General features: G+C 43.8%; 1 protein-coding gene across 8 annotated transcripts in view, besides 1 other annotated feature; it reads left to right on the plus strand.

The window, feature by feature from the left end:
• Window positions 17,412–18,071: an enhancer, noted in NCBI's record as "active region_11879". NCBI's record gives its function as "activates an Ori minimal core promoter by ATAC-STARR-seq in GM12878 lymphoblastoid cells {active_cell/tissue: GM12878}" and the evidence as "EXISTENCE:reporter gene assay evidence [ECO:0000049][PMID:35858748]".
• Window positions 17,750–25,618, plus strand: part of DHRS7B (dehydrogenase/reductase 7B) — a 64,457-nt gene continuing 56,588 nt past the window's right edge. For all 8 annotated transcript variants that reach the window (XM_047435722.1, XM_011523786.3, NM_015510.5 and 5 more), the window contains exon 1: window positions 17,750–17,777. In XM_047435722.1, coding sequence (XP_047291678.1) covers window positions 17,758–17,777 — 20 coding nt within the window. In that variant the 5' untranslated portion in view covers window positions 17,750–17,757. The remainder of the gene's footprint in view (window positions 17,778–25,618) is intronic.

Here is a 25,618-nt window from a genome sequence, read left to right on the forward strand (position 1 = left end):
CATGGTCACTCATATTTGGCTCTAATAAATCTCTTCAAATATTTTTACAGAGCTTGACTCTTTTTGTTGACCATATGATCATTTAGCTTCTATCTTTGTACCACAACTGGGTACTAAAGATGTTATTTGGCATGTAGAGGCCCTAAGCAATTATACACAGAAGGTCCTAAATATATCTACATGGTTATCTCATTATTGAATAATAAAGTTACTCTCATGAAAAAAGCTGTATTGCAAAACCATATGGCTTTAGCTATACTCACCATGGCCCAAGAAGAAATGGTTGTAAACCAAAAACAAAATCCTAAGCACCCCCAACTGAATTAATGGCCAAGGGGACCCTAGAGAAACCTGAAAAACTGAACTCCTGCCCATGATGGGAAGGGAGGTCAGACATGCCTTATCATACCTCCTCCCCTTTGGAGTTTAGGCACCACTGACCAACGTTAACATTAAAATAGAGATCATAAGTCTGACAAAACAGACTCTTTATGGCAAAAAGATACCAAATTCCAACCTGATTCTGATAGAGCATCACATGACAGATAGCAGACCCTTAAGGAAATCAAAATATTTTACTGCAAAATATACTTCTTTAACATGTTTTAAAATGGCCCTGCAAAGCCATCTTTTGTGGTAGAAATTTCTATCTGTAGAGAATCTCCATTAATGCAGCCAGGGCTTCCCTTTCCAGGCATTTCCCAGACATAGGAGAGATTAACTGAGTGTCTGCCATCTTTTAAGACCTGAAAAGAGACATTTATCATCTATTCTCTCTAAAGGCTGCTACCTGTGAGGCTTCATCTACGTAACAAAGACCTTGGCCTCCACAATCCCCCTTTTCTGGATTAAAGCATTTCTTTCTACTGACTTCAAGTCTTTAGGCAAAGCTTAACTCTTTCAAGCAGTTGCCAATAAGAAAATCTTTGAATCTACCTACAACCTGGAAGCCCATGCCCCTTTAAGATGTCCTGCCATTGCCGGGTGCAATGGCTCACTCCTGTAATCCCAGCACTTTGGGAGCCTGAGGCGGGCAGATCACGAGGTCAGGAGATCAAGACCATCTTGGCTACCACGGTGAAACCCCAGCTCTACTAAATATACAAAAAAAATTAGCTGGGCGTGGTGGCAGGCGCCTGTAATCCCAGCTCCTCGGGAGGCTGAGGCAGGAGAATGGTGTGAACCCGGCAGGTGGAGCTTGCAGTTAGCCGAGATCGCGCCACTGCACTCCAGCCTGGGCGACAGAGCGAGACTTCGTCTCAAAAAGAAAAAAAAAAAAAGATGTCCTGCCATTTTGATCTGACCCAAAGTATACCTTCCATGTATTGATTTATGTCTTTGCTTATGGCTCCTGTCTCTCTAAAATGTATAAAACCAAACTGTAATTCAACTACCTTGGGCATACTTTCTCAAGACCTCTTGAGACTGTTCCCTGGGCCAAGGTCATTCACATTGGCTCAGAATAAACCTCTTTAAATTGTTTACAGAGTTTTGTTTTTCCATTAATGCTGTGTTATTGTAAAACTAAATGCTGTGTCTATATCCCAGATAAATCAAATAATATCACTAAGGTAATGGCTAATATGAAAACCCAAATAACCAATCTTTCATATCCAAAACGTTCTCTAAGCAACTGGCTAAATAGCTGGTTTGGCTCTTGGGAAACTTGGTGGTAAAGTCATGACTTATTCTAGAAATTATAAACATTTGTTGTGTTCTGTCTTGTTTTTGTCTAAGTTGCTGTTATAACATTTGTTTACAACTGAGTCAGTGTGGCTTGGCACAGAGTTTCACACCTGTAATTCCAGCACTTTGGGAAGCTGAGGTGGGTGGATCACTTGAGGCCAGGAGTTCAAGACCAACCTGGCCAACGTGACGAAATCCCGTCTCTACTAAAAATACAAAAATTAGCCTGGCGTGGCACACACCTGTAATTCCAGCTACTCGGGAGGCTGAGGCAGGAGAATCACTTAAACCCAAGAGGCAGAGGTTTCACTGAGCCAAGATCATGTCACTGCACTCCAGCCTAGGCAACAGAGCAAGACTCTGTCTCAAAAACAAAACAAAACAAAACAAAAACAAAAAAAAGAAACCAGCTGGGCGTGGTGGCTCACACCTATAATCCCAGCACTTCGGGAGGCCAAGGCGGACAGATCGCCTGAGGTCAGGAGTTTGAGAGCAGCCTGGCCAACATGGGGAAACCCCGCCTCTACTAAAAATACAAAAATAAGCTGGGCGTGGTGATGTGTGCCTGAAATCCCACCTGCTCGGGAGGCTGAGGCAGGAGAATCACCCGAAACTGGGAGGCAGAGGTTGCAGTGAGCCGTGATCACGCCACTGCACTCCAGCAGGCGAGACTCTGTCTCGAAAAATATAAATAAATAAATAATTGAGTCAGCGTGACTCAAAAGACTAAAATAATGATCACTTGAATAAATCACATTAATTAAAAATGTAACCAAGTAACCTGGCTCAGGTCACAAAGTCACTTCCTTCATGTTTTTTTTAAATTTGGCCTATACTGGCCGGGCACGGTGGCTCACGCCTGTAATCCCAGCACTTTGGGAGGCCGAGGCGGGCAGATCACAAGATCAGGAGATCGAGACCATCCTGGCTAACACGGTGAAACCCGTCTCTACTAAAAATACAAAAATTAGCCGGGCATGGTGGTGGCAGGCGCCTGTAGTCCCAGCTACTCGGGAGCCTGAGGCAGGAGAATGGCATGAACCCAGGAGGCGAAGCTTGCAGTGAGCCGAGATTGTGCCACTGCATTCCAGCCTGGGCGACAGAGCGAGACTCCGTCTCAAAAAAAAAAAAATTTGGCCTATACTTCATGAGTCTTATAGTTCATCCAATTCCACTTTCACCATAAGACATGGTATCTTAGGAATGAATCTTCCTAGTGACATGGGACTAAACTCCTGGACATAAAAAGAGTCTGAGAAATCCCAGCTACTTGAGAGGCTGAAGCAGGAGGATCACTTGAGCCTAGGAGTTTAAGGCTGCAGTGAGCTGTGATTGAGCCACTGCACTGTGGCCTGGGTAAGAGTAAGACCCTGTCTCTAAAATAAATAAATAAATAAATAAATAAATATTTTTAAAAAATTAAAAAGGAGTTAAAACTATTGAGTTCATCTACAATGCTTTCTTCAAAAGATCTTGATGAAAAGGGGAAAATGTGAAAATAAAACGTAAAAGCTGTTGGAACACCCAAAAAACACGTTAAGACTCGAGAGAGATGTGACTGTGATTTGAGTCACATGTGGTTACAATGTCTGCTCTCAGATTATAGATTAACTCACTTTCTTAGTTTTCTTGTCCTGTACAATGACTAGAGAGAACTAAAGGACATTAGGGACAAAACCCTCCTGCCTTCTTTTTTTTCTTTTTTCTTTTTTTTTGAGACGGAGTTTTGCCCTTGTTGCCCAGCTGGAGTGCAGTGGCGTGATCTTGGCTCACTGCAACCTCTGCTTCCTGGGTTCAAGCGATTCTCTTGCCTCAGCCTCCCAAATCGCTGGGATTACAGGCATGCGCCACCACACCGGCTAATTTTGTATTTTTAGTAGAGACGGGGTTTCTCCATGTTGGTCAGGCTGGTCTCGAACTCCCGATCTCAGGTGATCTGCCTGCTTTGGCCTCCCAAAGTACTGGGATTACAGGCGTGAGCCACCATGTCTGGCCTTGCCTTCTTAATTAATGACCCTTGTTAAATATTAACTTCCTGGCCAGGTGCAGTGGCTCACACCTGTAATCCCAGCAATTTGGAAGGCTGAGGCAGGCAGATCACCTGAGCCCAGGGTTTCAAGACCAGCATGGGCAACATGGCAAAACCCTGTCTCTACAAAAAACACAAAAATTAGCTGGGCATTGTGGCATGTGCCTGTAGCCCCAGCTACTCAGGAGGCTGAGACAGGAGGATCACTTGAGCACAGGAGGCAGGGGCTGCAGTGAGCCGAGATCATGCTATTGCACTGTAGCCTGGGTGACAGAGCAAAACCCTGTCTCAAAAAAAAAAAAAAAAACAAAAAAAACCCTGTCTCAAAAAAAAAACAAACTTCTCTTTTTTGTCCTGCTGTGCTTAGACTAGATGACAGAAACCTCATGATTATTAGACCCTCTGCAAAAAAAAAAAAAAAAATGTTAAATGTACCCTTCCCAAAAGAAGTACTACCTATAATTAATCAATTTGCTGTAACCGTGTGCTATCCTTGTATGAATAATGTTGTAATCTTGCAAAACTCCTCTGTCTCTGCCTATACAAATGAAATCGCTAAACGTCCCTATTTTGAAACGCTGACCTCATTCCTTTGGAGTTGGTGTTGGTAGCCTAGCCTTACACTTTGTGACTGAATAAACTCTCTTTAAATTAGATTCTGACCCTTTTGATTATTTTACATTGATGGAGTTTACAAAGTATAATGCACATTGTTAATTTTTTCTCAGTTACTTAAATTTTATTCACATGGTTCAAAAGCATTAAGTTAATACATTAAAATAACAATAAATAAAAAGTAAAGAATTCACTTAGTGACCTGTTCCCTCATTCTTATCCCCCCATCCCAGTTTCCATGTCCCATCCTTTGTGTGGTTTCTGAGCCTAGCTCCTTATGGATCTGTGTTTTGATTGGGCTGCAAATATTCACTCCTGTCACCTCTCCCCATTGTGGTAGAGTTCACTTCTCTTTTTGGCTGACTTTGGGCTTTGCCATATGTAGTGTACTTCGTTTGGGCACAAGTGAAAGTGTGTCATATCCAAGCAGAGGCTTTAGGAGGACTGATAAGTTCCCCCTAGACCTCTTGCACTCTTGCCATCTGCCATGACAAGGACTTGCCCCAGGTAGCCTCTGTACCTTCAGACTGGGTCCCAAAATGAGAGACATGTGGAGCACATGTGAACCTAATCGGCAGCCCAAACCACCTGACCTACAGATCTCTGAGCAAGAAAATGTTGGTCGCAAACCAATTTTAACAATGGTGGGGGGCAAACCAATTTTAACAATGGTGGGGGCAGTATTTGTTAATTTTTTTTTTTTTTTTTTTTTTTTTTGAGACGGAGTCTCCCTCTCGCCCAGGCTGGAGTGCAGTGGCGCGATCTCGGCTCACTGCAAGCTCCGCCTCCCAAGTTCACGCCATTCTCCTGCCTCGGCCTCCCGAGTAGCTGGGACTACAGGCACCCGCTACCATGCCCGGCTAATTTTTTTGTATTTTTAGTAGAGACGGGGTTTCATCATGTTAGCCAGGATGGTCTCGATCTCCTGACCTTGTGATCCGCCCACCTCGGCCTCCCAAAGTGCTGGGATTACAGGCGTGAGCCACCGCGCCCAGCCAATATTTGTTAATATTATCACAGTAAAATCAAGTCTCACTTTGCTTTTTTAAACTTTATATATGTCACTAAGATATGTAGTGACTTCTCCTGTTGGTGCATAGAGTTACTTCTTTGAGTTTCATGGTATTACAGTGTGTGGCTATACTCCGATGGATTTAACCAGGCTTCCATTAATGGATATTTGAGTTGGTTCAATCTTTTGCTATCAAAAATAAGGATGTATTACATAGTCTTGTACATACATCATTTTGCATATGTATTCGTCAGGGTTCTCTAGAGAGACAGGACTAATAGGATAGATGTGTATATGAAAGGGAGTTTATTAAGGAGTATTGACTCACAGGATCACAAGGTGAAGTCCCACAATAGGCCATCTGCAAACTGAGGAACAAGGAAACCAGCCCAAGTCCTAAAACCTCAAAAACAGGGAAGCCGACAGTACAGCCTTCAGTCTGTGGCCAGAGGCCCAAAAACCCCTGGCAAACCACTGGTGTAGGTCCAAGAGTCCAAAAGCTGAAGAACTTGGAGTCCGTTGTTCGAGGGCAGGAAACATCCAGCACAGCAGAAAGATGAAAGCTGGAAGACTCAGCCAGTCTAGTCCTCCTGTGTTCCTCTGCCTGCTTTTATCCTAGCTGTACTGGCAGCTAATTAGATGGTGCCCATCCAGATTGAGGGTGGATCTGCCTCTCTTAGTCCACTGAATCAAATGTTAATCTCCTTTGACAACACCCTGATGGACACACCCAGGAACAATACTTGGCATCCTTGAATCCAATCAAGTTGACACTCAGTATTAACCATCACAGCACATATGTAAATATATCTATAGAATCATGGAAGTGCTCAGATGGGGGCATACATGAAATTTGAAATATTGAAAGATGTTCCTCAATTGCCCTACTTAGGGATTGTGCTTAGAACAATGACACTGATCATCAGTTAATGCTGGATTAAATGAAGAAAACGCTTTAGTATTTCTGTCACTTGCATTCCTGTTCTCATCCTCTTCTCTGAGGATCATCTTCTACATCTTCTCTTCCTCTTTCTGTGCCCTAAGTGATCACCAAGGATCTGTCCTTGACCTTGTATCAGTCAGTATAGGTTAGGTTATGCTGTGTGAAAAATGACTGCCCTCCCATCTCAGTGGCTTACAACGACAACAGTTCATTTCTTGCTCATGTTACGTGTCCATCGTGGGCCTGCTACAGTACTACACATCACTTTTTTCACTCCAGGACCCAGTCTGTTGGAAAAGTCTCTGTTTGGGACATTGATGGTCTTAGGGCAGAAAGAAGAGAAAGAGACATGGTAAATCACACACAGTTTCTGCTCAGAGGTGACCCATGTCACTTCTGCTTACATGTGGCTGATTATGCAAGTCTCGTGGCTGCTCCTGGGTTCTACTGAGCAGGAATGTGTTTAATCCAGATGTGGGGGTGCCACATCTGGGTAAACAAAAATTCAACCTACCACAGTCCTATTCTCTTCTTACTCCACGGTGTAGATGTGGGGCCCACACCCATTCCTTAGGGAAATCTCATGTACCCCTGTGGTCTCTGCTCCGTCTTCAGGCCTAACAAACTCATAGAGCCAAGCTTGCTGAGCTGCCCTATTAAGCTCTCTTGCCAGAATGTCAAACCCAACATATCCAAAAAGGAGTTCATCCCATTTCCCCCTAAACCTGCTGCTTCTGTGAGATCTTCATCACCCTGCATCCTCCCTAAGTCCTTGCTGCTCTTCCCCCTTCCCTTGGCTTCCAGTCCACTGCCAAGCAGATGCTGTTTAGCATCTTTTCAGCACTTTTTGAGCCTGGATAATTTAATTCTTTCCTGGGAGAAATCTTAAGATCAAAGCTTATTTGGAGGCTGGGTGCTGTAGCTTATACCTGTAATCCCAGCACTTTGGGAAGCCGAAGTGGATGGATTGCTTGAGCCCAAGAGTTCAAGACCAGTCTGGGCCACATGGTGAGACCCCGTCTCTACAAAAAAAAAAAAAAAGTACAAAAATTAGCCAGGCTTCCTGGTGCACTCTGTAGTCCCACCAACACAGAAGTCAGAGGTAGGAGAATTGCTTGGGTCCAGAAGGTCAAGGCTGCAGTGAGCCTGTGATTGGGTCACTGTACTCCAGCCTGGGTGACAGAGAGGGACCCTGTTCCCAAAAAACAAAAAAACAACACACACACACACACACACCTTATTTGGCTCAGAGGCAGATTTTCCCGGCCTCAAGGAGGGATGTGGTCACCTCTGGAATACAAAGATGCTTAGAAACCCATAGCCTCTTGTGTGGGTACATCCATGCTAAAGGAATAGAGAAACACTGAACTGAACAACTCCTGAAATGTCCTGTGTTAGCATCACGGTGTTAACGGTGAGGGGTTAAGGAGCTGCTTCCCTAAGGGACTGGAACAGATGGAAGAAACCCACCTCATGACCAGTAGGCCATGCACGATTCTAGGAGGAGCTTAAATGGCAGGGTAGGTGGTAGCTTATGCACCCCAGTATTCTTCCTGGCAGGAAGGCGGGAAAGGGACAGTGAAGGTCAGTCACTTGCCTCGGGAACATCAATACAGATGCCTGCTGGGAAACGGAGAGAATGGGGCTGGAAGGGCCAGGACAAGATGACTCCTGGGAGACACGTCCAGGCCCCACCGCCTGCTGGAGGAGGGACGCTGGTAGGAGTGGGCCAGGCAGTGGTCCCCACTTCGTATTCAAAAAGGCCCTAGAGTTTAGGCTTTGGACCTTACTGCTGTATGAGGCCGCAGCGTCAGAGAAGACAGTGATGAGAAAAACGTCACTTGCACTCCCTCCAGCATCACTGCACAGCTTCTGAGGCACTACCAATTAGTAGATTTTTCCATGAATTGTGAAACTGTCTTATAAAAATCACAAATGCATGACATCTTATATTTGCATGTTAAAATCGTTTTATTAAATTGACTGCTTTAAAAATATTTCATAATTATCATAATCTCATTTTGGCTCTTTCTTCCCCCCTTTCATTTATTAAATGTGTTCACCAAAAAGTGGAAGCTCTGAAGTTGAATATACATGAGAAAAGCAAATAAAACTGTCTCTCATCAAGCCAGGATGAAGATGTGGTAACCTGTTAAACTGACAGGCTGATTCGAACAAAACCCAGACAGCTCCTGGTGAGCATGAAATAGAATTGGTTTCTTATTTGGGATGCCAAGGTGGGTGGATTACCTGAGGTAAGGAGTTCGAGACCAGCCCAGCCAACATGGTGAAACCCCATCTCTAGTAAACATAGAAAAATTAGCAGAGCATGGTGGCATATGCCTGTAATCCCAGCTACTCAGGAGGCTGAGGCAGGAGAATCACTTGAATCTTGAACTCAGGAGGCAGAAGTTGCAGTGAGCTGAGATCATGCCACTGCACCCCAGCCTGGGCAACAGAGGAAGACCTGGTTCCTTAGGAGGGAGGTCTCCTACACATTCTGCACAATCTCTGAGGGAAGATGTGTGTGTGTGTGTGTGTGTGTGTGTGTGTGTGTGTGTGTGTGTGTATGTGTGTGTGTCAGTGGGGAGGCGGGTTCATGGGACTCCACTGTCAGAGAATTTCCTCCCTGGACTAGAACCGAGCCAGCCATGTCATTGTACTGCAGAGCTGCACCCACTAACCCCACTCCTGTCTGGGAAATCCAGACAGTGTAACTGTTTGCAAGGGTGCTCTGGAGCCAGACTCTCCAGGTTCAATGCCAGTGTCTGAGGTTTTTTCCCATTTGACATCAGCTCATAGTCTGACACAGAGATGTCTTCAACAGGAGTAGAACTATTTAGTAGAAATAATTGAGTGCAGAAGGGCTGTTTTTTTAAGGTAAATGTGGCTTCTCTGCGACCCATATGCATGGTGGAAATGCTCTACATCTGTAACGAACATTGGACATTTGCTGTATTGGTCACTGTGTTGAACACCTGAAATGTGGCTAGTGGGACTGAAGAACTGAATTTTAAACTTTACTGAATTTAAACATAAACAGCCACATGTACCTAGTAGCCACCACATGGGACAGCAATGGTCTAGCTCCCAAGTGCCAACAGCTTCCTGTGGAAAAATCAATTTTATTAAAATATGTGTCCTACCCTGCACTCAGCCTTTCTGGATGTCCCTCTTCAATATAATATCTGATTAAGGATTTGAAGAAAATACAGTATAGATATTGTTTGTAGAATAGACGTAAGACCCTAAAATACAGTTTTATACAAAATTTGATAAATCCTGGCCGGGCGCAATGGCTCCTGCTTGTAATCCTAGCTCTTTGGGAGGCCAAGGCAGGCGGATCGCTTGAGGTCAGGAGTTGGAAACCAGCCTTGCCAACATGGTGAAACCCCGTCTCTACTAAAAATACAAAACAATTAGACAGGCCTGTTGGTGGGCCCCTGTAATCCCAGCTACTCGGGAGGCTGAGTTAGAAAAACCACTTGAACCCGGGAGGCGGAGCTTGCCGTGAGCCGAGATTGCGCCACTGCACTCCAGCCTGGGTGACAGAGCATGATGATTCCGTCTCAAAAAATAAATAAATAAAAATTATAAATCCTTTCTCTAAGAGAAGAAATATGGCTTTCTTATTTCTTTTTCTTTTCTTTCCTTTTTTTTTTCTTTCTCTTCTTTTTCTGAGACAGGGCCTTGCCCTGTCACCCAGGCTGGAGTGCAGTGGCGTGATCTCGACTCACTGCAACCTCTGCCTCCCTGCTTGGAACGATTCTCCTACCTTAGTTTCCCGAGTTGCTGGGACCACAGGCACGTGCCACCACGCCTGGCTAATTTTCGTAGTTTTAGTAGAGACGGGGTTTCACCATGTTGCTCAGGCTGGTCTTGAACTCCTGGGCTCAAGCGATCCGCCTGTCGCCTGCCTCGGCTTCCCAAAGTGTTGGGATTACAGGCTGAGCCACCACGCCCGGTCTGGGCTTTCTTATCTCTGAGAGTCACAATTTCTGTGAGGCAGCCACCAACACTAGCTTTTAAGTTTCAGGGAGTTGCAGTGAAACTTTCTTTCCTGCCAGGAAGCTGACATTTTCCAGAAACCGCAAATAACAGAACATTTTGTCTCTGTGTCAGCTTCATGCACCCTAGTCTTAAACCAACAATGTTCTTAAAAATGCATTGTTTTTCTTCTCTTATCGCTTCTCGGTTGTTCTAATAATTTGATAGCTTCAGTACACCATTAATGTTCACCTTACACCTCCCGGAGGAGGAGATGGCGTGATACTCGCAAACACGGGACTACAAACTATTGATTCCATTCCGCGTGCTTCAGGAAGGTGGCGCTGTTTCCGTGCAGCTCATCAGGTACCTCAGAAAAAGAAATTTGGTGGAGACGTTTCCGCAGCCTCCAAGCAGCATCATTCAAAGGACAGGTCAGCAGGAAACAGATTTTATTTTAAAATTCCCAGCAGCGGGAGGGACGGGGGGGGGGCGGGGGAGGGACTTGTTAGAGTTCCTGTCGCTAAAGGAAATTCTTCCTAGAGCTATACTAAACTTAGTTATTACTGAGACAGTTTTTTCTGGCTTCATCAGAGGAAAAATATAGTTATGCATCCCAGTATTTTTGCAACAATTCCACCACCAACAGCAATAAAAACGGCTGCAATTTATTGAGTACTATCTTCTGTGGCACTTTACAAGTGTTATCATCTTTGGCTTCACAATTTCTTTACTATCTTAAGGATGAGAGGCTAAGGTTTTGGGGTGTTAAGAAATTCAACATCTGTCTAGCTGTTCTATTAGGTGTGTAGTGATACCTCCCCATGGTCTTGATTTGTATTTCCCTAATGGCTAGTAATGTTGATCATCTTTCTATGTGCTTATTTGCCGGTTGTATATTCTCTTCAATGAAGTGTTTCTTCATGTTCATGTCTTTGTCCATTTTTTAAATTGAATTGCTCAATTTTTTCACGTTGAGTTTTGAGAGGTTTTTTTTAATTTAAAAAAATAGAAACAGGATCTCACTATGTTGCCCAGGCTGGTCTCAAACTCCTGGGCTCAAGCAATTCTCCCACCTTGGCCTCCCAAAGTGTTAGCATTACAAGTGTGAGCCACTCAGTGCCTGGCTGAGAATTCTTTGTATATTCTAGATATGAGTCCTTTTTCAGATATATAGTTTGCATATATATTCTTCCAGTGTGTAGTTTGCCTTTTGATTCCATTAACAGTCTTTTGCAGAGCAAAACATTTTTAATTTTGATCAAGTCCACTTTATGAATTTTTTTCTTTTATGAATCATACTTTCAGTGTCATTTTGAAGAAATCTCTACCAACTAGGTGGAGAACTAGGGTTCCCCCACATTTTCTCCTGTACTATCTTCTAAAATTTTTATGCTTTATGTTTAAATCTATTATTCATTTTGAGTTAATTTTCATAAATGGTGTGAGGTTTAGGTCAAGTTTCTTTATTTTTATTTTTAAATTTTTGCCTATTAACATTCAATTGCTCCAGCACCATTTATTGAAAAAGCCTATCATCTCATTGAATTGTTTTGAATCTTTCTTAAAAAATCAGATGGACATACTTGTGTGGGGCTATTTCTGGGTCCTCTATTTTTTCCCATTGACCTATGTATTCATCCTTCGATAATACCAAACAATCTTGAGCTATGTAATTAGATTTGAAGCTGGGTGCGGTTGCTCTCGTCTGTAATCCCAGAACTTTGGGAGCCCACAGTGGGAGGATTGCTTGAGCCCAGGAGTTCGAGACCAGCCTGGTCAACATAGCAAGACCCTGTCTCTACAAAACATACAGAAAAAGTTAGCCATGCGGGGTGACATGCACCTGTAGTCCCAGCTACCTGGGAGGCTGAAGTGGGAGGGTCACCTGAGCCTGGGAGGTTGATGCTGCAATGAGCTGTGTTTGCACCACTGCACTCCAGCCTGGACAGCAAAGTAAGACCCTGTCTCAAAAAAATAATAATAAAAATTGAAATCAGGTAGTTCCATTTTATTATTGTTTTCCAAAATTGTTTTAGCTATTTATTCTATTTATTCTAGTTCCTTTGCCTTTCCACATACATTAAAAAAAAAAATCTTTTCTACATCTTCAAAAAATTTTGCTGGCATTTTGATAGGAATTTTGTTAAACCTGTATATCAATTAAAGGAGTATTGACATCATTACTACGTTGAGTCTTCAGTCCATGAGCTTGAAATGTCTCTTTCTTTAGATCTTTAATTTCCTTTCTTTTTTGAGACAGGGTCTCACTCTGTCGCCCAGGCTAGAGTGCAGTGGTGTGATTTTGGCTCACTACAACCTTTGCCTCCCAGACTCAAGTGATCCTCCCACGTCAGCCTCCCAAGTAGCTGGGACTACAGGCTACCATGCCCAGTTAATTTTTTGTATTTTTTTTTTTGTAGAGATGGGGTCTTGCCCAGGCTGTGTTGAACTCCTGGACTCAAGCCATCTGTCTGCCTCGGCCTCCCAAAGTACTAGGATTGTAGGCATGAGCCACTGTGCCCAGCTGATCTTTGATTTCTTACAACAATCTTTTGTAGCTTTTAGCTTATAACTCCTGTACATGTTTTGTTAAACTTACACCTAAGTATTTTGATTTTTTGAGTGATTATAAATTGTACTGCATTTAAATTTTTGGTTTTCATGTTTGTTGCTAGTATATGGAAATACAATTGATTTTTCTTTTTTTAAAAAAAAATTTTTTTGAGACAGGGTCTCACTTTGTCACCCAGGCTGGAGTGCAGTGGTGCAATCATAGCTCACTGCAGCCTCAAACTCCTGTGCTCAAGTGATCCTCCCACCTCAGCCTCCCAGGTAGCTGGGACTACAGGCACATGTCACCAAGCCCCACTAATTTTTTTAAAAAATTTATTCGTAGAGATGGGGGTCTCACTATGTTGCCGAGGCTGGTTTTGAACTCCTGGGTTTAAGGGATCCTTCCATCTTGGCCTCCCGAAGTGCTGCAGTTACAGGTGTGTGCCCCCTTGTTCGGCTGTGTTGGCATCTGTTCATTGTGTTTTCTTTTCTTTTCTTTCTTTTTTTTTTTTTGAGATGAAGTTTTGCTCTTGTTGCCCCAGCTGGAGTGCAATGGCGTGATCTCGGCTCACCACAACCTCTGCCTCCCGGTTTCAAGTGATTCTCCTGCCTTAGCCTCCGAGTAGCTGGGATTATAGGCATGTGCCACCATGCCCGGCTAATTTTTGTATTTTTAACAGAGACGGGGTTTCACCATGTTGGTCAGGCTGGTCTTGAACTCCTGACCTCAGGTGATCCACCCACCTTGGCCTCCCAAAGTGCTGGGATTACAGGCGCGAGCCACCACGCCCAGCTGTTGATTGTGTTTTCTCATTGAAGTTTAGATTTTCCCATTTCTTGGTATAATGAGTGCTTTTTGGTGGAAACCTGGACTTTGGGGTGTCATAAGACTCTGGATCTCATTTAAATCTTGTGTTTTAGCAGGCTTCCTGACCCACTTTGGCAGGGGAAGGGGATGCCTCTTCATTATTGCCAAGTAGGGGTGGAAGTCCAGGTTTTCCACTTGGCCTTTGTTGACACGTGGAGGGAGGTTGTTTGGCACAAGTGGGAGTTCAGGCTCTCCAGTTGGCCTCCAGGGATACCACCCTTGCTGGGATGGGGAGGGGACCTCCACTGATATGTGGGGTGGGAGGTGGCTTTGTTGCAACTGAGTGACGTTGAAAGTCCTGACTCTCCACTTGGCTCCCTATGGGGACAAGAGTGACTATTTTCAATGCGAATCCGCTAACTCCAATTCCAGGAATGCCTCCAAAATGTCTAGTTGATGTATTACTCTTTATACCGGATCACCTATTCACTGTAACTTTTGCCTTTTTACAGAAACAACCCTTGATGCTGTTGCAGAAATCATAGGTTGTGACACCCACAGCATTCTCTCAACCATCTACACATTCCTCCAAGAGTAAGTATATTTTTTCCCCAAGATATAAGCCCTGGTTCTACGGGGCTACTGTGTGGAGATCCACCTGCCTTGTGGACACCCAAGACCATGCTTCTGTCTGTAAGCTCCCTCTAATAATTATCCTATATGGACAAACTGGATTTGTCTGCTTCCTACGTTTTCTCAGCTCCTTGGGCATTTGGGGGTGGCTTTGGGGGTGGCTTTGATGGAACACTCTCTCTGACATCACCCCAGGGAAGAGGATGAGTGCTTTCTTACAATTAAGTGGGGTAGAAGTCCAGGTTCTCCATATGGTTTCCACTGATACCATGCTGGGGGAGAGTCTCCTCACCTCTCAGTGGGAATGAAAATCCAGCCCTCGGCCGGGCGCGGTGGCTCACGCCTATAATCCCAGCACTTCAGGAGGCCGAGGTGGGTGGATCACAGGCTCAAGAGATCAAGACCATCCTGGCCAATATGGTGAAACCCCGTCTCTACTAAAAATACAAAAATTAGCCAGGCGTGGTGGCGTGAGCCTGTAATCCCAGCTACTCAGGAGGCTGAGGCAGGAGAATTGCTTGAACCCAGGAGGCAGAGGTTGCAGTGAGCCGAGATTGTGCCACTGCACTCCAGCTTGGGTGAGAGAACCAGACTCCGTCTCAAAAAAAAAAGAAAAAATAAAAAATAAAAATAAAAAGAAAATCCAGCCCTCCACTTGGCCTTCTCTGACACCATGCCAGGGAGAGGGGACAGTGGTGCCTCTTTACAGCCTAGCATGCGTGGCAGTCTAGGCTTTCCAAGAGGCAAGCATGGGGATGGGGCTTTTTCTGTGGTTTGGGCTGGATTAGAGCCATTATTGTGTAAACGTTTTCTGTCCTCTGAGGCTGCCCATTTCCTGGTCCTGTGGCTAGAGAGAGAAGGCTTTTCTTAGGGCATTGTCTTTGCCTGTCGGCATTTCCAGGTTGCTTGCTTCCTAGCACCCAGTCTGGGATATATAAGGCAACACCCACCATGTTGTTCCTTGCGTCCCAGGGTGGCTAGCTGGTTTGCCTTCTCTCCAACTTTTGGAGTCTTAGATTGTTTTATATATAATGCCCACAATTTTTAGTTGTACTTAGTAAAAGGAATAGGGAAAATTGTGTCTAGTTCATCTTCCTGGAAACAAAAATCTTCCATCTTGTTTTCATAGAAGGCCATGGAACTGTGCTAACCACTGGAATCTATTTGTTTTGTTTGTTTGTTTGAGATGGAGTCTCGCTGTGTTGCCCAGGCTGGAGTGCAGTGGCATGATCTCTGCTCACTGCAACCTCCACCTCCTGGTTTCAAGTGATTCTCCTTCCTCAGCCTCCTGAGTAGCTGGGACTACAGGTAAACGACACCATGCCTGGCTGATTTTTTTGTATTTTTAGTAGATGGGGTTTCCCCATGTTGGCCAGGCTGATCTCAAACTCCCGACCTCAGGTGATCCGCCTGCCTCAGCCTTCCAAAATGCTGGATTACAGGTGTGAGCCACTGCACCCGGCCCACTGGAATCCTTTTTGTATAATATCCTGGCTGCGAAGTTAGAGTTTTTACACTTGCATTTGGCAGATGCAATTCAAATTGGTTACCAAAACTTTGAAATATATTGAGTTGCTTCTAAAACAAATTCCATGCAGGATTGAAGAGTGGGTAGGCTAAGAGGGTAGCAGGCCTGGGAAATGAACCCCAGGAAACTGACTTAGTCATGCAATAAAGACTCAGGTGTTACCAGTGGAGAGTGTCCAGGTTCTTGGCGTTTTGAACAAACAATTGGACAAAACGCACAAACAAAGCAAGGAAAGAATGATGCAACAAAAGCAGAGATTTATTGAAAACAAAAGCACACTCCACAGGTTGGGAGCCTGCCTAGCAGGTGGCTCAAGAGCCCGGTTACAGAATTTTCTGGAGTTTAAATACCCTCTAGAGGGTTCCCGTTGGTTACTTGGTGTACACTCTATGTAAAAGAAGTAGTGGCCTGTGATCAGCCTGATTGGTTGCAAGAGGGGACCAATCAGAGGTACCTTCAATTTTTCATCTGCCAGGCAGAAAAGCGGGGCAGGTTGCAAAGGGACTAGCTTCTGTTCCTTTTGTTACCTGGGCATGGAAAGTTCGGGTTTTCCTTTTGATTTAGTTCTAGGAAGTCAGCGTGAATTGGCCTTAGGTTCCCTGTCTCCAGACCCTATTTTTCTGCCTTACGGTTCATATTGGGTTTGCTACAAGGATATTCAAACTTTGTGAATTGGCAAGCAGGAATCTAGAGTTTCCAGAACAATGGAGAGGGGCCAGAAAGGTATAAAAACTTTTGTGAAAACGTCAAAAATAAATATTTAGTTAAAAATAAAATTTCCCATTTTCAGATTTTGTGAATATCTGTAAGAATTTCCAGGATATATTAATTCGCTAAAGTTAATAAAAGCAAGAAACAGAAGGACGTTTCAGAATGCTATTGTTTGTGTAACAAGGGGGTGCTGAATACATACATAATTGCTTGGTTATGAATAAACTGGCTCTGGAAGGACACACATAGCTAATAGCATCGTTACCTAGGGGGAGGTGAAGTGGGTCCTGGAGAACAGAAAGGGAGATTTTCCACCTTACACACATTTGCCATCTTATGATTTTGAACGATAAGAGTCCCCCCGCCCCTTCCTTCCTCTGCCCTGCCCCTTCCTTCCTCTGCCCTTTACTCTCTCAATATCCTCTTTTCATGCTTTTTTTTTTTTTTTAAATCACTTCGGGTCCTTTAAAAAATTTACTTGCAAGAAGTACGTACATATTCTGAATAAAATTCATTTTCAGATATATGTATTACAAATATCTTGTCTGTTCTATTGTCTTTCCCTTTTCTCAATGGGGTCTTTTCGGTGTCTTATAGTTACAGACACCCAATTTATCAGCTTTTTCCTTTAGGACTGGCACTTTTTGTGTTCTGCTAACACGTTATTTTCCTCTCTTATGGTCATAATATTCTGCGATTTTATTGTCTAGAGTTGTATTGTTCACATTCAGGTCTACCATCCGTCTAGAATTATTTTACTTGAGATAGGAGTCAAGGTTCATTTCCCCCCAATCGACCTTCAATTGACCTAGCACTATATATTGAAAAAACTCTTCTTATTGCATTACAGTGGCTACTTGTAGGAGGAAAAAGTGACTACATAGCTGCAGGTCTGTTTCTGGTCTCTCTCTTTTTCATTCATTGTTTTTACCTTTGTGCCAGTTATCACACTGTTCTGATTACTGTGGCATTATAATCATCTTGATAACTGTATCGTGAATTCTCCAACTGTGTTCTTCGCCGGAAGTCCACGGAACACCAACCACGACCTTCGGAATTTCCCTCCGGAAGATGAAGGCACTGTAGTTATGCGGGTGGACCCTATCAGATCTCGGGTCCATCGGGTCCTGTGTACACCTTGAGGGACGCCCACCCAACGCGCATGCGCAGCCTCAATGCTGGGATTGGACGGAGCCTCGCCGGCTGCGTACACGTCACTTCCGAGGCGGGAGGATGAAGTTGATTGACTATGGTCTCTCCGGCTACCAGGTAGGGGCTGGGGAAGAAGGAACCTCCGAGATGAGGCGATAGGGTCTGGCCTTGAGCTGAGGCGACGCCCCGGCTTGGGTGAGGGGAAGCGGTGTAGTGGTCGAGCTAAGGCCGCGGGCCCTGGGCGGCTTCCGGATCCCCGCGACGCCGAACTCTGAAGGAAGACTCAGCCCAGGCGCTGGGACCAGAGCCCTGGCTCCGGCGAGTGCGTGGCGGGGAAACCCGCCTGTCGCCGAGGTGTCTTGAGTCCAGTTTCCGCTGCTGGGAATGGGTGTCGCGCCGGGCGCTGTGTGTGAAAGGCCTCGCGCCCACAGGGCTCCTGGCTTCAACCTGTTTATTCCCACATTTCTGCGCGACGTAGGGGAGGCTCCGCAGCGTCTGCGAGTGGCAGGACCGAGGGTTGAGCGCTGGGGGCCAGTGGCACCTTAGCCAGTGACGGCGAGTTAGGACTAGCAAAGGAAGTCCGGTTTTTCAGAAGGCAGGAGGAGGGTGCTGACTCGAGCGTCCACGGGAATGGCTGGTTGAGATATCTTGCTCTTCCAATACTTACTCTGCGGCTTCCTGGCTGTGCGGCTTTGGGCAAATGTTTTAAACTCTGAGTGTTTCTTCAGCTGTAACTTTGGGAGTAACAAGCCCACTCATAAGGTTGTTGTGAAGCGTAAATGAGACTGCGCGTGCAAGGTGCTCAGCTGGTGTCTGGCACATAGTAGGTATTCAACAAATGGTAGCCACATAATGCTCTTTTTTTCAGTTTCCAAACCTTCCATGTAGTGATTGGAGAATCGTGAAGTTACTTTTGAAGTAACGTTTGGGTTTCACACACTCATACATTTAGTAAGCAGAATTCTTGCTTACACTGTTGCCGATTGCAACGGTGTGTTTGCATAATGGAAGCTATGTTTGTGCCTTTGCCAAGGGTGTGGAATATGCCTTCCCTACCATGTACATGTCCCCTTTTCTCCATTCCTTAATAATAGTTGATATTTTTTGAGTGTTTGCTATGTTACAGGCACTGTACTAATCCCTTTACTGAATTATTCAATCCTGTAATAACCCTAATCATAGGAACTATAATTTTTATTTATGGAGGGAGAAATGGGCTTAGAGATGTTAAGAAGTTTATCCAAAGGCATAGAGCTATTAGCCAGGCAAGGTAGCACACGCCTGTAGTCCCAGCTATTTGTTGGGGCTGAGGCAAGTGGATTGCTTGAACCTGGGAGACAGGCTGCAGTGAGCCGAGATCACGCCATTGCATTCAAGTCTGGGTGACAAAGTGAGACCCTGTCTTGGCTGGGCGCAGTGGCTCACACATGTAATCCCAGCACTTTAGGAGGCTGAGGCGGGCGGATCACCTGAGGTCAGGAGTTCGAGACCAGCCTGGCCAACGTGGTGAAACCCCGTCTCTACTAAAAAATACAAAAATTGGCTGGGCGCGGTGGCTCACGCCTGTATTTCCAGCACTTTGGGAGGCCAAGGCGGGCGGATCACGAGGTCAGGACCTCGAGACCATCCTGGCTAACACGGTGAAACCCCGTCTCTACTAAAAAAATTCAAAAAAATTGGCTGGGCTTGGTGGCGGGCGTCTGTAGTCCCAGCTACTAGGGAGGCTGAGGCAGGAGAATGGCGTGCTCCGGATGGCGGAGCTTGCAGTGAGCCGAGATCCCGCCGCTGCACTCCAGCCTGGGCGACATAGTGAGACTCTGTCTCAAAACAAACAAACAAACAAAAATTAGCCGGGCGTGGTGGTGGGCGCCTGTAATCCCAGCTACTCGGGAGGCTTTGGCAGGAGAATCGCTTGAACCTGGGAGGCAGAGGTTGCAGTGAGCCGAGATGCCGCCACTGCATTCCAGCCTGGGCGACAAGAGCGAGGAGACTCCGTCTTAAAAAAAAAAAAAAAAAAAAAGTGACACCCTGTCTCAAACAACAACAACAACAACAACAAACAACAACAAAGGCATAGAGCTAGTAAAGGCCGATCCAATGCCATGTCACTCCAGAACCTAGCGCTTAGCTACAAATTTCATTCATTCCTTCAGATACTTATTGAACGTTTACAGTGTACCAGCATTGTGCTGGGTGTTGTGGATACAATGATGATCAAAACAGATAAAGCCCCTGTCTTTAAATTGCTTATAAATCTAGCAAGGGAGATAGTAAATATATAAATAAAACTAAATATTAATTACGATTGTGATGCATGCTGTGGAGGACAGTAGAGGGTGCTGTGAGGATACATAATGGAGTCACCGGCATGCGGAGGGGGAAATGAGGAGAGACAGGGAAGGCTTTCCCAAGAAAATAATATTTAGCTGAGACTTAAAGGACTGAGTTGGAGTTAAATTGGACAAAGAGCTAACAGGAGGAGGGAAGGGCATGTGTGAGGTCTTGAGACTAGGAGGAGCTTGTATCTTGTTACTTAAAGACCCCTGTGAGGCTGTAGGTGGTGGCTCACACCTATAATCCGAGCGCTTTGGGAGGCTGAGGTGGGAGGATCATGTGAGGCCAGGAGTTTGAGACTAGCCTGGGCAACATAGGGAGACCCCATTTCTACAAAAAATAAAAAATTATCTAGGCGTGCTGGTGTGTACCTGTTGTCCCAGTTACTCAGAAGGCTGAGTCAGGAGGATCACTTGAGCCCAGGAGTTTGCGGCTACAGTAAACTGTGATAATACTACGGCACTCCAGCCTGGGCAGCAGAGTAAGACCCTGACTCAAAAAAAAAAAAAAAAAAAAGAAAAAGAAAAAAATAAGCATTAAACCAGACTGGAATGTATTATGGATAATATGCTAATGCAGTTTCTTTCAGAAAAGAAATCCCACCACTTATTTGTATGCAGCTGAGCAGATACAACCCATTATGTAGTCTCAAGATTAATGGTAATTTGTCCTCTTATAAGAAGACTTGACAGCACCATTTGCTGTACATGTTTTCATAGTTCATTCTAAATTCACCTGGTAATTGGGTTGGTCATCTGTGCTACCTAGTTACTTTTTTCCAAAGGAAAACATGAAACAGCTCTATGATAAAACAAGTAGTTGAGGTGCCTAGGCTAAACTTCCACAGTGATAGGGATAGGGCTGGGGCATTGTCTTCCTGGATATTTCCATTTAAAATAGGGGGTTTGGCTGAGCACGGTGGCTCACGCCTGTAATCCCAGTACTTTGGGAGGCTGAGGAGGGCAGATCACCTGAGGTCAGGAGTTCGAGACCAGCCTGGCCAACATGGCGAACCCCGTCTCTATTAAAAATACAAAAATGTGTGGTGGCGTGTGCCTGTAATCCCAGCTACTCAGGAGGCTGAGGCAGGAGAATCGCTTGAACTGGGAAGCAGAGGTTGCAATGAGTCGAGATTGTGTCACTGTACTCCAGCCTGGGCTACAGAGTGAGACTCCACCTCAAAAAATAAATAAATAAATAAATAAATAAACTTACGTATGTATGTACGTACGTTTGTAAAGGGGGGGTTCCAGGCCCTTCAGAAAAACAGTCCTGGGTTTTACTGTATTTACTGGGTTTAAACAAGCTAAGCTAGGGGTAGTTTATTTAGCCTTTAAAAAGATTTGCATACATATCAAAGGGACAGAGGAATAATTTATAAATACTGGGTTTTTCAAAGAAATGCTGTGAGGAAAAGGAAGGAGAGAAGATCTCTTTCCCTTTGGAAACAGTGAAAATTCAGTTTTAAAATTTTTACTATATGTTTGCATGACAACTAAAAAAAAAATTTACTTACAGTACAGTAAAATGTTGGACTAGAGCAACATCCATAATGTTGGATGGTGTAGGAATTATTCATTCCCACCCCATTATACACATAAGAAACCTTTCTTTGGTAGCCAATGTTATTTTAATGCAAAAATGAACTCTCTATTCTGGAAGGCCATAAGCATGAGGGTGAAAATTGGGATTGAATGGTGTGTAAATTCAGTTTGAAAGCTTCTTGCCACCCACCCAGATAGGAAATACAACAAATTCCTTAGGATTTTACCTGAGCTCTCCCTCCTATCTTCTAAAGTTCCCAGTAACATGAGGCTTGGCCATTTAAACTGCTTAGTGGAGGGAGAGGTCTGTGATGGCCACTGAATTTGCTACTGGAGAAGAGTCTTGATCCAGACCTCAAGAGAGGGTTCTTGGATCTTGTGTAAGAAATAATTTGAGGCCAATCCATAGAGAAAAGTGAAAGCAAGTTTATTAGAAAAGTAAAGAAACAAGAGAATGGCTACTCCATAGGCAAAGCAGCCCTGAGGGCTGCTGGCTGGCCACTTTTATGGTCATTTCCTGATTATATGCTAAAGAAGGGGTGGATTATTCATGAATTTTCTAGGAAAGGGGTGGGTAATTCCCGGAACTGAGAGTTCCTCCCCTTCGTAGACTATATAGGGTAACTTCTTGACATTGCCATGGCATTTGTAAACTGTTATGGTGCTGGTAGGAGTGTCTTTTAGCGAGCTAATGCCTTATAATTAGCATATAATGAGCAGTGAGGATGACCAGAGGTCACTTTCATTGCCATTTTCCATTTGGTGGGTTTTGGCCGGCTTCTTTACCTCAGCCTGCTTTATCAGCAAGGTCTTTCTGACCTGTATCTTATGTGACCTCCTATCTCATCTTGTGATTTAGAATGCCTAACCTGCGAATGCAGCCCAGTAGGTCTCAGCCTTATTTTACCCAGCCTCTATTCAAAATAGAGTTGCTCTGGTTCAGATGACTGATAAATTGATTGAATATTGCTTACCAGTGGTTTGAGCTTCCTTGCTGTACTTAGCTAGTGTTTTATTAAGTAAGGCTATGTTTGTACTAGGAACACTAATTTCTGAAGGGGATATAAATTTTTCCAGTTTATATGAGCAGCACTTAGTGGTCATTAAATTGGATACTACTACATTAAGAAACTACCATTGCAGAATTCTCTATGAGTATGGCATTATAATCCAGATTGGTTTAAAATGTTAGCTAAACTGAATCAAAGAAACTGTACTGAGTTCCTATTAAGCAGCTAACTTGTTTATGTTCAATTGTTGCTTAGAAGCCTTTGTATTCTGTTTGAGTTGTTAAAACTTCAGACAAACTAAATTCAACAGAGTTTAACTGAACAAAGAATGATTTGCAGATCAGCAGCCTCTGGAACTAGAATAGGTTCAGAGTGACTCTGGGGTAGCTACATGGTTGGATAGTATTTGTGGACAGAAACAGCAAAGTGACATACAGAAAATGGAAGTGAGGTACAGGCCAGGCCCAGTGGCTTACACCTATAATCCCAGCACTTTAGGAGGCCAAGGCAGGAGGATTGCTTGAGCCCAGGAGTTTGAGACCACCCTGGGCAACATAGGGAGACCCCATCTCTTAAAAAAAAAAAAATATATATATATATAGATAGATAGATAGATAGAGATATGCAGGTGTACCACTCATGCCTGTGGTCCTAGCTACTCAGGAGACTGAGGTGGGAGGATCGCTTGAACCTGGGAGGTTGAGGCTGCAGTGAGCTATGATCACACCACTGCACCCCAGCCTAGGTGGCAGAGGGAGACCTTGTCTCAAAAAAAAAAAAAAAAAAACAAAAAAAAAACAGGGAAGTGAGGTGTAGAAAGAGCTAGATTGGTTGCAGCCTAGTGTTTGCCTTATTTGAGCAGTTGGCTGCCTATGACTGGCTGAAACTGGGCTGCTGTGATTGGCTGAGACTGGGCTACTTGTTACAAGAGTAGGTTAAAGTTTGTTTGCACATCCAGTTAGGTTACAGGTCACTAGCTATGGAGGAACATTTAGGCTAAACTTAAAATATGTAAGGAGGCAGCTTTAGGCTAAACTTCTTATAACAAGGTGATTAGAGCTAAGCTTAGGGATCTCTTCATCTCTTAGACAGTATTAGAATCCTTCCTGTTTAAAGTTCCAGCTAAAGGATTTTTTTTTTTACATGACCCCCTATTTGATGCACTTAAGAGTTAAGAATGTGGGCTTCAGAGTCTGAGTACGTTGGTTGAAATCTCTTTTCCACCATTTGCTAGCCATGTGACTTCACGTACTTTTCTTATTTAGCAAATGAAAATAACTGTCATACCTACCTCCGGATTGCTGTGAGGATGAAATGAGATCATGGGTATGGAGAATGTGTATTTCAGTGTCTGGCACATTGCAAATACTTAAAAAAGTTAGTAATTGTTATTAATATTTTTCCTTTTCAATAGCCATGTATGGTACTGTGAACCCAGAAAATCTGAGACAGGTCTTAGTTAATTCAGAGAGTTTATTTTGCCAAGGTTGAGGATGTGCCCATGACACAGCCTCAGGAGGTCCTGATGACATGTGCCCAGGGTGGTCAGGGCACAACTTGATTTTATACATTTTAGGGAGACATGAGACATCAATCAATATATGTAAGAAGTACTTTAATTCCATCTAGAAAGGCAGGACCACTCAAAGTGGGGCCCCCCTTCAGGGGCTTCCAGGTCACAGATAGGTGAGAGACAAATGGTTGCATTCTTTTGAGTTTCTGATGAGACTTCCAAAGGAGGCAATCGGAATATGCATCTATCTCTGTGAGCAGAGGGATGACTTTGAATAGAATGGGAGGCAGGTTTGCCCTGAACAGTTCCCAGCTAGAAGGAGCCCAAGATATTTTCCTTTCACATTTCCCCACTTTTCTTTTTTAAAATCATTTGGAGAAAGCATTTTAGAAGAAAATGAATCTCTGGTCTCAAGTTTCATCTGATCTCTCATGGTTAGGATGGTTTATTCCTAGTTAGTTAGGTCCTGAAAGCTCATTCTTAGCAGGTTGTGAAGTCTCATGTCCTGTGAAGAGAAAATGGGGGGAGGAAGGGAGAAAAACAACAACAAACAAAAGAACAATCCTGGAAAAATCGATATTGGCCACATTACTCTGAAGTCCACACATTAGTAGGCAGGTATGAAAGTGGCTTATGTATGTAAATAGGTTGCTATTATTTTCTTCTGAAGTGTAAGTTGTCTGGCTTCAGTTTGCAGGGCTTTAAGAAAGCACAGCTTAGTTTTCAGTGACTCCAAATTAGGAAAAATGGAAAAAAAAAAGGAAAAAAACTGAAAACATTATTTTGAAGACTTATAGCCAAGAAAAATTAGAATTCAGTTCAAACTGTAGAAAATAATAAAAATTGGAAAAACATTAGGCAAGACTAGACTCCAACAACAGGTTTACTATAGTTTTGAAACATAATTTTTCTCTCTCTGGTTTCCCAATTTTGCCAAAGACAAGTCACGCTAGGACTGGTTTGCTTTATTATACTTGACCTAATTATTTGTATACAGTGCAGCAAGAATAATTTTTTTTTACATACACTTTTAAATTGCTTTGATGGAACTTGTTCCATAGGAGGAATCTCAGATAAGACTTTCTAAAGCTGAGCCATGATTTGTGTCATCAAATACCTATGAGCTGGGTGAATTTCCTCACCTCTTTAGGTTCCAAGATAAACCTGGGGCTTCTGGGACTGTCAGAAAGTGACATTCTTTACTTACCACAGGTCAGAAACCCTGTACATGGACTGTATACACAAAATATGAGGCCAGATTTTCCAGGGGCTTTACTGGCTCTATATGTCACGTTTGATTCCTTAAAGGAAAGCACTCCATTCCAGTCAAAGCCTTGGTAAAATAACCAGTTTCTCCAATTGTGTCCTGCTACAAATGAAAACACAGTCTTACAGCACTGATGCAAATAACTGTATTGCCATAAGAATACTCATAAATAGTTTCCAGATTCTGGAGTAATCAGGTAGAGAGAAACAAATATGTTCCAAATTTTGTTCATAGGAGTATGCTGAATTGTTAAAAGCTGTCAGTAGCTCAAAAGAAAAGTTTTGAGACTC

The sequence above is a fragment of the Homo sapiens genome, chromosome 17 (assembly GCF_000001405.40).
Source record: "Homo sapiens chromosome 17, GRCh38.p14 Primary Assembly".
Lineage (NCBI taxonomy): Eukaryota > Metazoa > Chordata > Mammalia > Primates > Hominidae > Homo > Homo sapiens.